Source organism: Homo sapiens, chromosome 15 (assembly GCF_000001405.40).
Source record: "Homo sapiens chromosome 15, GRCh38.p14 Primary Assembly".
Classification (NCBI taxonomy): domain Eukaryota; kingdom Metazoa; phylum Chordata; class Mammalia; order Primates; family Hominidae; genus Homo; species Homo sapiens.
Window position 1 is genome coordinate 71,335,909 of NC_000015.10, and position 17,247 is coordinate 71,353,155.

The 17,247-nt window shown below is 44.7% G+C and overlaps 1 protein-coding gene and 1 pseudogene across 7 annotated transcripts in view; one reads left to right on the forward strand and one right to left on the reverse strand.

Moving 5' to 3' along the window:
• Positions 1 to 17,247, forward strand: part of THSD4 (thrombospondin type 1 domain containing 4) — a 686,490-nt gene that overhangs the window by 239,015 nt on the left and 430,228 nt on the right. The window contains exon 1 of one of the 7 annotated variants that reach the window (XM_017022586.2): positions 12,295 to 12,582. The exons of the other annotated variants lie outside the window; for them this stretch is intronic. The gene's annotated coding sequence lies outside the window, so the exon portion shown is untranslated. Of the gene's footprint in view, positions 1 to 12,294; positions 12,583 to 17,247 lie in introns of those variants that run through there. 7 annotated transcript variants of the gene reach the window in all.
• Positions 5,212 to 5,825, reverse strand: RPL17P39 (ribosomal protein L17 pseudogene 39; annotated as a pseudogene).

Here is a 17,247-nt window from a genome sequence, read left to right on the forward strand (position 1 = left end):
CCTTCTTGGAGAAGGGCATGGGGGTGGGTTGTCGGGGAATGATGTGGAAGGCCAAACCTGAGGGGCTGGACTGCAGCAGAACACAGTCAATGAAAAAAAGAATCTCAATCATTGGGGAGAGATCACCTCGGTGGATGGCCTTTCGCATTGCAATCCATTAGGAAGAGGAAATAAAGTGATGGAGGCCATCCCCTGCTCAGCCAGCACATGTGAGGCATGTTCACACACTGTCTCCCTCTCCCCACAAAATGCTCAAGCTTCTAGAATGTTTTTAATCAAGGGATTTAGGGCAGTGTTTTTCAACTTCTAGAATAAAAATGTTACAACCTTGGTCTGAGTGGTGAGGGCCCAAAGATACAGGGAAGGAAGTGGTAGATAACAAATACATTAATACCCTTTATTATGAGTTCATAATATTTTGTTAAATCTGAAATTCAGTTGTCATTTAAACAGAAGAGATTCAAATTCAAGTTATAGAAAAGTTAAAATTTCTAATTAGCAATATTTAAAGCAAGGAATTTTATACTTTATCATTTTAACTGTTAAGGGAAAAAAGTAATTTGAGTGTGATTGTTTTTCTTAAAGTTGAAGATCAGTATCCAGAATGTTTGGAGTTATCACTGGTCATGAACTATATTCCACGTGGAACCATATCTGAGTTTGTTTTGAAGTACCACATGTTCAAATCACTGAATTAGACTTTTTAAGAGACATAAAGTGTTATATTTCTGTAAGAGGTGCTTTCCAAACCCAAATCTAAAAATTTATCATTTCTGTTCCTTAAAGTATCATTTTAATTTACAACTTATTTTCCCTTATTTGGCAATTTGGATACAGTGTCTGAAGCAGTAAATGGATTTAACCCCAATCTAATTTTTCTGTAAGAAGTAGGAGAGAGTCTAAGAATGACATACAAACCTGTCAAACCTGTTAAAACGAGCTAGACTTTCACACTTTCACCGGTGGAAAATGCTGTTCCTTCATGTCAACTGAAGGTAACTTTGATCACATTTTAGTACATGCCTTAGGGTGGCAAAGGGCAGTTTTTGCAAGGCACAGTTTACTTGAGGGCCTTCCAATCCTTGGGCTAAATCAGAGAGAGAGGGGAGAGGGAGTGTGTGCGTGCATGCATGTGCTTTGTTTTGGAGAGAAGTGGGAGGCAAGGAGGAAAGAGAAGGACTGTAATGATGTAGTGACCGCCTTGGTCCTGGGCTAGGCAGAGGAAGTCTGTGCATGTGGATGTGTCTTAGTTGGGTACAACACTGAAAACATGAAGTGGTCATTTTCCAACCCAAGAACTGTAAGGGGTGGTAGTGGCTGCAGCAGCCAGGCCAGTGGTAGGGTCTAGAGTGGCCCCACCTGGACATACAGCATGTGGTTGCATTCCAGTCCAGGGGGACCGAGGGTAGAGCCAGGCCCAATGCCCTTGTGGGAGCCAGGAGTGAAAAGTGGGCAGAGCCTGAGGCAGTGGGAGGAAACCTGCCCCTGGAGGGCTTGATGCTCCTTACTCAGTGTTTCAGCCCAGGAGAAAAACCGCAAATACTTGCCTTGTGAGCCAAACCCTAGCTTAACAAGGATCAGCTAGTTAACATGTGAAAAGTTGTCCCAAATGGAAACTGGATAAACAGGTCTGGCCTGATAAATAGCTAAAAGGTTTCCCAGTCAGGGATGGGGTGAGAGAGGCTTGGACATTCTGGCCCGCAGGTCATTAATTATGCAAATTCTTACTGGGCTCTGGGAGGTTCTCAAGAACTTGGGCCCTGGGAGAGAGGGCCCCTCAGCCAGGCTGGAAGATGAGGCTCTGCCTGAACACTTGAGGAGGGCCTTTGCATACCCCAGGTGAACCTAGTAGAGGCTGAGCCCACCGGAGACGTTCCCAGCAGGCTTGAGTAAAGGTTAGGAAAGTGATTTCTGCATGCAATGTGATGTAGGCAGAAATGGGCAATTCGAAGGTCAAATGGGGCTCTCATTTACTAATGACTGTGGGCAACTTTCTGGTCCTTCCAGCCTCAGCCGCTTCCCTGTGTAAACTGGTGGAGCTGATAAGTTCCTGGAAGGATTATGAGGATTAACTGGAAAAATGTATGTAAAATGCCTTGTTGTACCTAGAAAAGAATTGTGCTCATATTTTTCTTCCCTGTTCTATCATTAAACTGTTCCCCCATCAATGCCCCAAAATCTTATCTGCTTATTTTTCTCTAAGAACTGGGTTCAAAATATGGTTTCAAACACTGAAGAATCAGAAGTTTGAGCTTTGAATCCTGGAGTTTCCCTAATTAGCTGTGTGACCTTGAGCCAATCCTACAGTCTTGGTATCCCATGAAATGGGAGGATTCTCCAGGTGATGGCTTAGGTACCCCCACCCCCCGCCCCACTCTGAGCTTCTTTCCGAACACTCAGCAGTAGGACAGGAAGATCTGAAAGCAAGGGGTCTGCTTCATGTAGCATGATAAACACTCTTTGGACCGGAGTCTGAACACTTATAGATATCAGGGAGGTTCACATTGCTCCAGTTCATACTCGCGCGTGGATCCTAGAATTGGGCCATGAGGTAATGCCGAGAGTATGTGAACTGTTATAAATTAATACACTGATCTACTCTGCAGTGAGGTTCTTTCGGCTCTGATTTCTCCTTTTATGGTGTCTTTAGAGACAGGCAGGAGGTTAGGAGGTAGTTGACAGAGGAGTTACAAACACGTGTATTCACTGCATCAGGGCTGGAGCTTAGCTTTTGTTTTTGAGTTAGTTCTGTTGTTTGGGCTTGGTTAATCTGTGCCCAAACACTGAGATTATTAGAAGGAAAAGACACCCTTAACTGGCCTCTTGCAGCAACAGACACTTGGTGGGAGGTAAGAGAAGGGGGAAATGGGACAAGGGAGAAAAGACCTTCCAACTCTACCCAACCGAGTGGACCTATGAAAGACTGAAATCTCCAGTTTAATGTAGCCAGAACTGAGGTCAGGGTCTGGCCATTGTCTGGAAACCAGAGTTGGAGTTCTGGGGCTGTCAGTGAAGACCTGTCTGTCCTAAAGGTCACCTCTGTTTCTATAGAAACAGGTGCCTGAGTGACCAGTGTTTACGAGTTAAAAGCAGGCTCCTTGCAGGACATCACACTGTGTCTTGCTCCAGCCACTGGCCATCTCTGCGGCCTCGCCTCTTCTCAGGACATTTTGTCCTGACCTCACCTACCCTGAGATCTTTTTGTTAGCTTTGTGTTCTGCCCTTAAGATATCACTTAAGAACTCCCTCTGGGTTCTTCATAGCATTTTAGCATTCTTAGTATGTTTTATCTCCATTAAACTTTTTCAGTGTTCTATGCTGAGTTTTTTGTATTTTTTGTCTCTGTCTACCCAAACTGTTACTTCTGCCTGAGCCTCCCTTTTATTGATTTTTTTAATCCAGAAATACTCCTACTCATCCTTCCAAACCCCCAAGTTTAATGACTCAGGAAATCTTTGCCGACCCTCTCAGATATTTAATTATCCCCTCCCCCAACCGTCACCTCTGTACTTTGCACAAATGTCCCATGAAGCTGATCACAGTGCATTACTTTATATTTTTTTACTTGCCTTGTCACTCTCTAACAATATAACCTCATTAAAAATGAGAGCCGTACATTATCTATTATCGATCAGGTATGGGGTGTAGTGTTTAAGAGATGGGTTGCCTGCATTAAAATCCCAGCACTACCTAGTATGGTAGGAACTTCTCTGTCATAACTTGAGATAAGTTCTTAATTGCCCTGTGCCTCAGTTTCCTAATCTCTAAAATTGGAATAATAAAAGTAACTACCTCATAGGGATGTTATGAGGATTAAATGGTAAATATGTGTAAAGCAGATAAGTGCTCAGTAAGTTTTAACTTTTTTTTTTTTGAGATGGAGTCTTACTCTGTCACCCAGGCTAGAGTGCAGTGGCGCGATCTCCGCTCACTGCAACCTCTGCCTCCTGGGTTCAAGGAATTCTCCTGCCTCAGCCTCCCAAGTAGCTGAAATTACAGTCGCGTGCCACCATGCCCGGCTAATTTTTGTATTTTTAGTAGAGACAGGCTTTCGTCATGTTGTCCAGGCTGGTCTTGAACTCCTGACCTCAGGTGATCCGCCCACCTTGCCCTCCCAAAGAGTTGGGAGTACAGACATGAGCCACTGCACCTGGCCAAGTCTTAGTTATTCTTGATGTTGATCCGAATTTCTAGGCTTCATTATTGCATTTGGACCTTAACACTTAATCAGTAGATGTTTGCAGGTTGGCTTTGTACTGTGTGTCTCCCTGACTGGACCGTGTGCTTGCTGAGGCAGTGTGCGGGTACACCTGCTCCTTGGCATATGCCTTGGCTTCACATCTTGCCAGGATGGGTCTCTCGTCCCCATTTCATAGATGAGGAACCCAAGGCTCAGAGAGGTTGAAGGACTTGCTGAAGGTCACTTTAAAGACCAGAATATGGTAGAAGTCCTGGAACTCTGAATGGGAGCTTAGACCCGGTGCTTCCAAAATGCCATCCACCCTGTAGCTTTAAGGCTCTGGACCCTGAAACCAAATCCATGAGGGATGAGCTGGAAGAGCCAGGCCGTGTGACCCATTTTCCGCTGTGCTGGGAGCTTGCGCACCCTCTGGAGCTTCCTTGCTGTGACTGCCTTCCACTTCCTAGGCTGTCTTTTGTAGGTCCATGTTTGGGCCTTAATGAGCATCCAGAGACTTTTTTTTTTTTTTTTTTTTGCGACACAGTTTTACTCTGTCACCCAGCCTGGAGTGCAATGGTGCAATCTCTGCTTGCTGCAACCTCTGCCTGCTGGGTTCAAGCAATTCTCCTGCCTCAACCTCCTGAGTAGCTGAGATTACAGGTGCCCACCACCACACCTGGCTAATATTTTTAGTAGAGACAGAGTTTCGTCATGTTGACCAGGGTAGTCTTGAACTCTTGAGCTCAGGTGGTCCACCCACCTCTGCCTCCCAAAGTCCTAGGATTACAGGCGTGAGCCACCGTGCCCAGCCCCAGAGATTATTTTCATAAGCTTTCCCTGGGAGTTCACTTATGAAAACGGGTTGGGAGGGTCTACACTGGTCCCTACAGTTCCTGGGGTAGATGTGCAGGTAATGGTCTCCCCATTGTTTCCCAGTGTCTTGCATTTCCTCTCTCTCCCATTTCTTTTTTCTTTTGTTGCCTTGCCTTTTCTTTTCTATTGTCTCTTCTGTCTTCCCTCTCTCTCCCTTTTTTTTTTCCTTTTAATTACATTTATTTTAATGCTGAATTTACTCCCGTGCCATAAGTTTTTGTTTCTTCAGTTTCTTCTGGGATATCTTTTTCTTCTGGGCAACCTCCTCTTCTGGTTTAGGAACAATCTGTTCCTTTTCCGTAAGGATCATCTCAATGTGGCAGGGAGAGCTCATGTATGGGTTAATCCGACCATGAGCTCTGTAGGTCCGGCGGTGCATCTTAGGTGCTTTGTTCACTTGGATATGCTCAATGACCAGAGAATCTACATCTAAACCCTTAAGTTCAGCATTACTCTCTGCGTTTTTAAGCATGTGCAGCAAGAATTCAGCACTCTTTTTGGGCCACCGACCTTGTGTCCAGCCCCACTGCTTGGCCTGCGCACACCTGCCAACTCCACCGTTGTAATGTCGGAATGGTACACACTGTTTCTGTAAAGTGACATCTTTCAGATACTTCGTGGCTTTTCGTATATGCATACCCTTGATGGCCTGAGCAGTTTCACGAGTGTTCTTAAAGTGAACACGAAGATTGGAACCTCTTGATTTGCCTGATTTCGTGGGGTTCTCCGGGTCAAGTGAATAGCGAACCATTTTCACAGATTACCTCAGGCTGCTTAGGAAAAGAGCTCTCTCCCTTTTCTTCCTTTTTTCTCCTACCTCCCTCACAACCCTCTTTTCTTCCTTCCTTCCTTTCCTTTCATTTGGTTTATTTCCACCTACTAGGTTTTTATTATATTTCATCTAGAATAATGACCTTAATGCTCTAACGATTTTTTTTTCTAAAAGTAGCTTGTGTTCAACATAAAGTATTCAAACAATCCAATTGAAAGCCAAGAAGACAGTAAAAAATTACTCCATATCCTACCACAGAGGATTAACTCTTGTTAACAGTAGATGAGGATAGTCACAGCTGTCTGTAACAGGAGATGGGGAGGGGTAGAATAAGTGGATTGATGGGTGGACATGCAGATGCAGAAACTGATACATCCTTTGATTGACTGAAACGCTTCTTCATAAAAAAAAAAGGTGGGGGACAGTAGGTGTTATTTAATAACATCTACTAAATCCCATTTATTTCCTGGAGTTTAAAAATAACATAGCTGATGAGGTTTTAAAATACGCTTTGGGAACCTGGAACAGAGAGAGTTTGTGTTACAGAGACTGCCACGGGGAGTGCACAGTACTCACGGTGCACATGATGCGTAGAAGAAAGAAATGGGGGCTTGTGCTGGGCTTGCACTCTTGGTCCTCTGCCTGCAGGCACTTGGAGATCCTGAAGTCAGAGGACAGCCTGAAAACAGGAGAGAAGAAACAACAGGGGTGCAGTCTCAGCATGGGAGTCCCTCCCTTCTCTGACCCCCACCTTGAGCTGATCGCCATGCAGGTTAATAGCTTTCACTCCGGGTTTCCTTGCCTTCCCCCTGCCCACCCCCAACTTCTGCCCCTGCCCTGGTGTGCCCTGGCAGGCGCAGACCCTGCAGTGGCTGCACAGTGGCCCTTGGGGACATTCCGTGGCTACAGCCACTTTGGCTACTCTGACATGTTCGTCCTTGTTCTCCAGGCAGCCGTGTTGGAGGGGATCCCACCTCAGCCATGGACGGTGCCTGAAGCGGCCCTCCCCACCCCACAGCAGCTGATGGGGGTCCTTGGATACCAACTAGATGTCTTCTTTCTTGTGGCAAATTCTCTTTTGAGGCTGTGTGTGCCAGGCACACCCAGATCCTCAGAGACAGTCCACAAGTGTTGAGCTTCAGAAGGTCTTTGAGTTCCGTTTGTGCTCGAGTTTTTCTGTTCTCTTCCTCCCGACTGGCCCATCTTGCATATAGAAGGGTCTTAAGAGACAGCCTTTGCCATATGCTAAAAGGTTCCATTTTACCCATATGCCAGAGCCTTTGTGCTTACTGGGCATGTATTATCAGAGCTGGGAGGGAAAATTATTTCTTCTCTGGACAAACAAAGTCCACCCCTAAATGATCTGCCTTGACTAAGCCAGTGGCTCATGCCTGTAATCCCAACATTTTGGGAGGCAGAGGTGGAGGCTCTCTTAAGGCCAGAAGTTCAAGACCAGCCTGCATAATATAGCGAGACCCTATCTCTAGTAGGTAGGTAGGTAGATAGATGGATATATTAGATATAAAGAGAGATAGATGGATATGTTAGATGAATTAGATAGATTAGATAGACCCTGTCTCTACTGATTGATTGATAAATAATAAATAGCCTGCCTTGCCCGCTGTATTAGTTTCCAGGGTATGCCATGACAGATGACTGTAAAGTTAGTGGTTTAAAACAACAAAAATTATTTTCTAACCATCTCAGAGGGGAAAAGTCCAAAGTCAAGGTGTCATCAGGGTTGGCTTCGTCTGGAGTCTCTGAGGGTGAATCCTCACTTTCCTCTTCCAGCTTTTGGTGGCACCCAGCAATCACTGGCCTTCCTTGACTTTTAGGCACATTGCTCAAGCCTCTGTCTTTGTCTTCAAGTGACCTTCTGCTCTGTGTGTTTCTGTGACTGAAAATCCCTGTGCTTTCTCTTATAAGGACACCTGTCACTGGATTTAGGGCCATCCTAAATCTAGGATAATCTCATCTCAGGATTTTTTTTTTTTTTTTTTGAGATAGGGTGTTGCTCTGTTACCCAGGTTGGAGTGCAGCCGCAAAATGGCTCACTGCAGCCTCAGCCTCCCAGGCTCAGATGATCGTCCTACCTCAGCGTCCTGAGCAGCTGGAACTACAGGCATGCACCACCACACCCAGCTAACTTTTTGTATTTTGTGTAGAGACTGGGTCTCACCGTGTCGCCTGGGCTGGTCTTAAACTCCTGGGCTCAAGCAATCAGCCCACCTCACCCTCCCAAAGTGATGGGGGTGGGGTGGGGGTGGGGGTTACAGGCGTGAGCCACTGCACCCAGCCAGGATTCTTTTTTTTTTTTTTTTTTGAGACAGAGTCTCGCTCTGTCGCCCAGGCTGGAGTGCAGTGGCGCGATCTCTGCTCACTGCAAGCTCCGCCTCCCAGGTTCACGCCATTCTCCTGCCTCAGCCTCCCGAGTAGCTGGGACTACAGGTGCCCGCCACCACGCCCGACTAAATTTTGTTTTTGTATTTTTAATAGAGACGGGGTTTCACCGTGTTAGTCAGTATGGTCTCGATCTCCTGACCTCGTGATCCACCCGCCTCGGCCCCCCAAAGTACTGGGATTACAGGCGTGAGCCACTGTGCCCAGCCCAGCCAGGATTCTTAATAACATCTGTGAAGATTCTATTTCCAAATAAGGTGATATGTGCAGATTCCAGGGTCAGGACTTGGGCATATTTGGGAGAAGGGAGGGCACCATTCAGCTCACCACTTCCACCTTATGGAGCATTGACGACCTCTTCAAACATGTTTCACGCCTCAGGGAGCATACATGCAGGGGGCTGGCTGGGTGCCTGTTCCACAGACCTCACATCCTTTATCCTTTATGTCCTCCACAGTACTCAGCACTGTGCCGTAAGCATATCTTTGTTTCATGCCAAACATGCTAATTTAGGAAAAATAATAAATTGGGTGAAAATTTCTCTGGGCTCCGGGTAGGGGCATTCTTTCATAATCAGAAAAAGAAATGTAGAAGCACCAAATTGTATCATGAGCATTCACAAAGATTTCTTGTGCCTACTTCCACGGATGTACAAGGTCTACTCAACAAATGTGGCCTTTGCCTGCCAGCATCTTTGGGGCCGTGGGAAGGATTTTGAAAATGGTGTACTCTCCATGTCTGTGTCTCAGGTCCAGATCGTGAGATCTGCCAAGGTGGGAGATGCCCTTTAGATATGATGACAGAAAAGTGAGCCAAGAATTCTGAGTATGTGAGTGGTCATGTGGGAGATGGGTAGCAAGCAGTGTGTGGGTTAGAGGGGGCGAAAGAGTCACAGAGAAAATCGGGAGACAAAGTCCAAAAGGAAACTGTTCTCAGAGTTCTTCATCTTTATCCTTGATCCTTTCTTAGTGTAGCCTGGGTCTGTGATATTGGCTGTAATTATATATGTGATTTCTCATTTCTGTATGGTATGTTTTTGTTCTGTTTCAGTATGCAAGTGGCGGGGGGTTGGGGGGGTGGGTAGGGGGCAAAGGGAAGGATTGATTGTGAATAAGGAGGAGTTGTATACTTGTGGCCTGCCAGATAGAAAGGGCTTTTCAAGTGCCAGCAGCTCCCATCCTGGGCCAGAGGGTATGTAGGAGGGAGTCTGATACAGGGGCAAGGTAGGGCCAAAGGCACCCCGGGCTGCCTGTGAGAGGAGAGTGCTGACCTCTGTGATTGGCCCTTTCTTCAAACGGAGCTGGTGCCGTCTGAAAGCAAATTAAGATTTTTTTTAACTTAAACCAATTGGATTTGGTAATAAATCACACATAACGAGAAATCTGGAGGTAGCCAGTCTGAGGGCTTGCTAATTTAGCAGCTCAACAATGGCAGATCTCTGGGGTGGCTTCTCTGAGTTTTTAGTGGCTTTTCCCTATTTGCAAAATAATTGTGACAGGTCCAGGCCTCAGCTTTGATGGGTGAATGTCTATGTCAGGTGGAAAGGAAGCACTTTTCCTTTAGGCAGTTGTTGCTAGAGAAGAACATCTTTCTAAGATGCCCCTAAAGACATTCCGTTAGAGTGCCTTCGCCAGAATAAGTGAACATAATTCTTTGGGTGTTTTGTTTTTTTTTTAATTATTTTACTTTGAAACAGTCTCAAACTTATATGGTAGTTAAAGCCCTGTACGAAGAGTTCTTTTGTTTTCGGACTTACTTGAGAGTAAGTTGCCAATGTGATACATTGCCACTCCCCCAGGTTTCCTGTAAACAAAAAAATTCTCATACATAACCACAAAGCAACCATCAGAATCAGGACATTCATATTGATATATTGCTACCACCCAGTCCCCAAACATTCAAGTTTCACCAGTTGTCCTGAGTGTCCCAATAATGTCCTTAGAGTGGAAGTATCTGATTCAGAATCACACGCTGTATTTAGTTGTCGCATCTCTGGTCTCCTTCAGCCTGGAAGTATTTCTTATTCTCTTGTTGACTTTCGTGACATGATCTTGACATGTTTGAAGAATATAGACCATTATTAGGTAGCATGGCCCTCAGTTTGGGTTTGTGCAGTGTTTCCTCATGATTAGATTCAGTCGATGAATTTTTGGCAGGAAAATAACAGAAGTGATGGGGTATTCTTATTGTATCCTGTTAGGTGATACAGCTTGTCCATTTGCTCCTTTATTCAGCCATTTATTGGTGTCAGCATGGACACATGGATTTCCCTTCTACTCAATGGGTTTTGACCTGTTACCATTATTATTTGCTTTGAAGCTCTAATTGCCCCGTATTTGGCTAGTGAGAGCCACTTTGGCCTGGCTTCAGTGTCTTTTTTGACACATCTCCATCACTCTTTGAGCACTTCTTCACTTTCAGGTATGACACGATGTTTCAAGCTTGTATTTTACCAGTCCTAGCCCTGGAATCAGCCATTTTTCCAAGGAGCCCTCGTCCATTTTTTTTGGAGAATAGTATTTACAAGCCAAAATCTGGACAATAAATGTACCTGTTGCTCTTGTGGTGTTGCTGCTCCTAGACCCTTGCAGTCAAACAGAGCTGGGCAATGCGTCTTATGTATGTAAGCACATATTTATTATGTGTGTATTTCTGTATTCATCTGTATATTAAAAATTGTCAGTTCACACACATCTCAAATTCCGAATAACATCATAAGTTTCATTTTCATTTTCTTTTTTTTTTTTTTTTTTTTTTTGAGACGGAGTCTCACTCTGTTGCCCAGGTTGGAGTGCAATGGTGTGATCTCGGCTCACCGCAGCCTCCGCCTCCTGGGTTCAAGCAATTCTCCTGCCTCCGCTTCCTGAGTAGCTGAGATTACAGGCGCGTGCCACCACACCTGGCTAATTTTTGTATTTTTAGTAGAGACAGGGTTTCACCATGCTGGCCAGGCTGGTCTCGAACTCCCGACCTCAGGCGATCTGCCCGCCTCGGTGTCCCAAAGTGCTGGGATTACAGGTGTGAGCCACCGTGCCCGGCTCATTCTCATTTTCTCTCTTTCTGCAGTTGTAACTCTCTTCTCTGGCCATGAGAAATCTAGGTTCCATTATCTTTTATATTTTTACTGTGTACTCCGTCACCCTGAATGTAATCAATTTCACATCACCACTGTCCCCCTGCCCTATGTAGATGCCCAGTTAGCACCATGTCACCCTCCCTCATATGTGGATGCCATCTCCCTGCCACTAGGGCTCTGACACCTTGCCCTGGGCCACTGCCAGATGGACATCTCCCTTGCATGGCTGCTGAACACACACTTGTAAAGGCAAGGAGTTTGACTTTATCAAGGTCTCTACTTTCTATCTATATACATTTATTCATTCAAGCATTTCTGCCTTACTTGACTGATAACTTTGGTGTCCCATCGATTACCCTTCTTTTGGCGGGGATCCTCCTGGTCCTCTTTAGACTTGCAGGTACAGGGGCTGCCATGGGGTTTTTATATACCTGTGCAGTCCAATGTGCTAGCCAGTAGTCCCATATCAAAATTTAAAATTCAGTTTCTCACTTGTGCTAGCTGTGTTTTTAGTGCTGAATAGCCGCATATGACTAGTGGCTACCATGTTGGACAGTGTAGATATAGAACATTTCCATCATCACAGAAAGTTCTCTTGTTCTCCTAACTTAACATTGATCCTTCTCTGACTTCAACTTAATTTTTCAGTGTTCAGATGATCAGCCGGACCACCCAAACACTCAGCAGTCCTTCATGCTAACTAGCCCGTCTCCATACCCACATAATAACAATTTCAGTAATCTTACCCTCTGCATACTCATTCCCAATACCCATGGGTCTATCCCTGTTGCCCCAGACCATCCATAATACATGATCTGCAAAGGGAACAGAGTGTTTGAAACTGAGACTATTTTGTAAAATCTTGGACATGTAGTTGCGATAATATAAAATGAGAGTAGTTAAAATCTTGCTTTTCTGAGCTTTTGAAATGCTTGTTTTCAGGTCATCCCTGGGAATCTCAGTTCCAGGTTGTCTTTTCGGCTCCTCAATACCCAACCCTTTTGTAGAGCCTCCTCCTCCAGACCAGTGCTTTTCAAACTTTAATGTGCGGAAGAACCACTGAAAACTGTTGTTAGAATGCAGGTTCTGATTCAGTAGGTCCACATGAACCTGCGATTCTGCATTTTAATGAACCTCAATTGATGCTGTTGTTGCTGCTCTGAGGACCATGCCAACAGGCCCCGAATGTCTGCCATATGGAAGCTCAGAATTGTCAACACTCCCTCTGCTTTTCCTTTGTCTTCCCTCAGAACACCTGCTCACCATGACCTGTACATCCAGGTGAGTGTTGGTTTTCAACAGAGATACCTTGCGAGTCTGTGCTCTGGCAATGCCACCACTCCAGAAAACAGCTCAGAGCTTAGCTCTTAGTTGTGTTCAGAGCCCGATTGAGCTAAAGAAGGGACAACTCTCTGTTTTATAGTCACACCTAATCTAATGGCTGTTGTAGCCTTTGATTAAAACTTATGCTTCCCAATACAAATTGTTGCTCCAGATTTGGTCCCAAAGGATACGACTGTTAGCAAAAACCAAATTTACCTGCTAAAGGATGAGCTATTTAAAAGGAATGTGTCACTTGCTGTGTAACTGCATTCCAACAAGGAGTTACATAAATGTTTTGAGACAGCAGCATCTTTGGAGTAAGTGCCAAGCCTCCAGAGGAACCCTGGTAAAGGGAAGCAGTGGTCTCATTTGGATATGCAGGTTCTTGCATTTTTGTTATGAAATCTACTCTCCTTTGAAGTTACCTCTTGTATTGTAATCTCTATAGTAATCCATTCTGTATTTCAGACATAAATTCTCTTTTTCTGGGCCATCCTTCCTATCTGTGTTCACAAGTCCATGCCATCTGCCAACATTTTGCCACGTGGAGTGGTAGGAAAACCAGGACAGGAGCAAGCTGACCCAGCTTCAAATCCCATTTCAATTGTTAGCAGTGAGATCATAGGCAATTTCTTAACTTCTCTGACCTTCAGTATTCTAATTAAAAACAAGGCTACTCTGAGTTACAGGGATTAAAGTAGATATGTTGTATACAAAATGTAAATTGGATACAGAAGTGGCCAGCCCAGAAAAGCACCTAAAATTGTTGTTTCCCTTTCTTATTTTTTTCTCTTTAGTATTAATTACTTCTTTGCTTAATTCATTCCTTCTTCATTCACATGCGTACATTTGCACAATGTAGAAAACAAAGATGACACGAGCCTGTTCACTTCTCCACATGCCTGTCCATCTCCCCCTGCCCCTATCAACATGTCTTGAAGGTGTGGCCACTGGCCGTTTGCATCACCTTTCTGTCTACGTAGCACCTGTCAGTGACCCCTGACCCCAGAGCACCTGCCCTTAGCCTTGAGAAGCCTGTATTTTCCCTGCTGGGCTCACCTCTGGGAGGTAGCATTCCCATTGTCTCTTCACTGGATGGCACTCTCACAGGTTAAAAGTGGGCCACACCCAGCAGTAGCCAAAGACCACTGTAGGAAGAACAAGATTGCTGAGTTAGTTTTTGATTTTCTTTTGCTTTCACATGTTTTGGAGAAATGGGATGAGGCTGCATGTGCTTAGGTTTGAGTTTGGGATGGGATAGGGGTCCTTACTCTTAGAGGCAGCAGGGGTTTGTAAGGGTAACAGAGATTCAGTGTGGGCCCAGGGAAGGGGGAGCTGAAACACAGCTGGTCTCAGGAAGGAGGTGGAGGGCGAAAGGGAAAGACGGGGATGGTCCATTTCAGCAGAAGCAAAGGTTTCCAGTCCATTAATTTTAACGTAATGCAAATCGGTTTATGGAAGTGCTGACATGCCGTTATTTAAAAAGCATGAGTAGCATGATAATTAAATCTCCATCTATATTTTATTCTAGCACATTTATAGTGTATCCTTGCCCAGCTGGGGAGATAGATTTCCAGCCTTATAATAATTATATAAACTGCAAATTACTAAAAAAAAAAAAAAAAAAAATGAACATTGATGCCAAAAACAAGGTGGGATATATTAATGTAAACTTCATTAAGTTGAACTCAGCTTTGTCCTTGAGTTTGACCACATTTACTCACTAAAAATATCTCAAAGTTATGCTTTTCAGCATATAACAAGAAAGGATATGGTGTCTGTTTAATGTTCGTTTTTGGCACCTTCACTTTGAAGCAGACATTCTTGGTGGGGAGCCCTAGAATTTAGTCATTCCCTGCCAAGCAGAGAAGTGGAACAGGAATGAACCCTTTACTGGGAATCAGGACCCCTGAGTTCTGCACCTGGGGCTGCCAGTGACCGCTTAAGTGACCTCCCCTCTGGCTCTCTGGCACATAAGGAACCAAGGTGTTGCAACTCCTAAAAGTGACTATTTTTTGACTTGAATTTTTATTTTTCTTCTTCATTGCTTAAAATAAAAATCTCCCAACATAGCCCTTTACAAAACTCTGAAGTTTAGTTTCCTTAATTTGAAAGAAATTCAGCTAGAAAGAATGGCCAACAAGCTTGAGCTGTCCATGGAAGTTTAGGAGGATGGTGCAGGGATGAGGAGGGGAGGTGAGCTGAGGCCTTGGGGGAGGGCACATGGAAAAATAACAGAGCTGGGAACAAGGATGTGCCATTACCAGATTCAGGGCGTCTCCTGTGTGCAAGTGTATCATTCCAGGCAAACCACGTGGCCACACTTTTGTATTAAGCTTGTTGGTAACTCTCCTAAGAAACCCCACTGGCGGTGGCTGTTTTATTACCTTTAAGCTGACCTGATACATGAGACCACTCAGGTCCCTGTGTTCAAGGTGCATAGTCAGACAAGTTTGTCACCACGCTGTGGTGGGAACAGCTTTGTACCGGTTGGGGTACCGATGACCTCTGCTTGGGAAGTGCTTTCTAAGGCCAGCTGTGGTCCTGGGGTATCAGGTCAATGGCTGGGGAACTGCCCTGAGGAGTAGCAGAAGTCCATCTGCATTCTGTGGGAAAACAGCCTCTGCAGCACAATTGAACGTTGCATGGTAAATCAATCACAGGCCATGAGCACTGCAAGAGGTTTTAGAGATCATCTGGTGCAAGCCTGTCTTTTATACAGCAGAAGCCCAAACCTAGCTAGTGAGGAGCAGGACCAATCTGATACCTGGTGCTGAGCTGAGCTTTCTGCATTTCCCACCATAATACATCATATATCATGATTGCAAAGGGAAAAGAAAAATCCCTTCTTTAGGGAAACTATACATACATAAAACAGACATGTACTATAGACCCTTAACCAACATTGCTTCTGTTGATTGATTTTACTCTGGTTTTTCCTCTCAAATTATGGATTTCATCAGGCCTTCCACCTTGCTGCATCTCCTAGCCATCTGCTCTTGAGTTTCTCCTGGTACACAAACTAAGCAAATCTTTTATAACTTCAAAATATCAAAATGCTTCTCACATGTGCTCTTTGCTCACATCATCTGTGGCAAGGCTTACAAGCTCTAGGACACAGCGATCTCCAATGTCTTATTGAGACTGTCACCAGTGAGTGGAGATGGTGTTCGCGTGGCCTCTCTGCTGGGCTGGTGATGGTTCTCTATGGCCAGATTGGACTTGAAAACAACATGGAAACAAGTTTCCTTTCTGCAACACTTCTCCCAACTTGGTCCATGCCTTTGCTTTTTATCTCCCTACTCCCTTCCAGGGGCCATATAGATTCAGAAGTCAATTACCAAATAATGGTAATGTGTTTACCCTTCTCTGCATTTAGGAAACCCACTACCTTCTGTCATTTGGCTTTACCATGCACACTTTGCCTGCCCTGGTTCTTTTCAACACTCCTTGATACACTTGTGTAAAAGCCCCTCTGAAGAACCATGTCAACCCTGTACTCTCACATCTGTCCTTTTTGGCTTCCAAAGTGAGCCTTTTAATTAAACAAAAGAAAAGACTGCCATGTCCATTTATTTTTGGCAGATTCGTGATTCCATCAGAGTTGATGCTTTCCTGTCCTCTTTGTCCTCTTTGTCTTTTAACATCCTTTCCCAACCAGGAACATGCTGAATGTTCATTTGGAAAGACTGAAGCTTCCAGGACCGTCACTTCTGGTGTCACTATTACGTGCAGCCCTCAGCCAGGTTAAGGTTTGATGATGGATCCACAAAGCAAACTTCTGGCTGAAGACACATGGCCGGAGTTTATCCAAAGCCCTGACGGTTGCCAGCCATTCTTCCTGAGAAGCAGACATGTTTGTTTCCCTTGCCAACAACTTTGTATGGAGATAAATTACAGGATGTTTCCCACGGTCATGGCCCCATAACCAAGTAGCAGGCATTACTGTGTATGCTGGAGCTGTTATGAGTGGAGTTAAAAAGTATGGGTCTTTAAAAACCAGGTAAATTTTACTAAAGCTTATAGACACCCTAGGACTTAGAAAGGATTGGCTGATATAGTTGAGTTCATTTCAAATTTTAATTTTATTGAGAGCCTATGTGGTCAGTTAGGGATACAAATTTTGGACATACAGGTCCCGTTCTCAAAGAGCTCAGAGATACCAGGGGAAAAGAAATGAATAATTGTAACACAGTGTCCTGTGTGCTATGATTGAGGCTTATCCATATTGCTTTTATGAGCCCTGATGAAAGAAAAATGAATTCCAGCCAGAGTATTGGGAGGGGATAGAGGAAAGCTTAACATTTAAGCTGAGTCCTAATGGAATTGTCCATAGGGACGGGACATGGGTGGAAGGACATTCTAGGAGAAGGGAGCATCGTGAGCAATGGCTCACAAGCCCAAACGTTCTGGGAAATGCTGCGTCATCCTTGAGACTGGTCCAGAGGTTGGGTAGGTGGGACGATTGGGAGAGGAGGCTATAAAGGCTTTCCAAGGACCTTGCAGGCGATAACTCACATTCATTCAACACTATCTCATGTACCAGACACTTTTCTGAGCACTCTATACATGAGGCTTCATGTAGTGATCATGCATCCCAGTCAGACTCTTCTGACATCAACA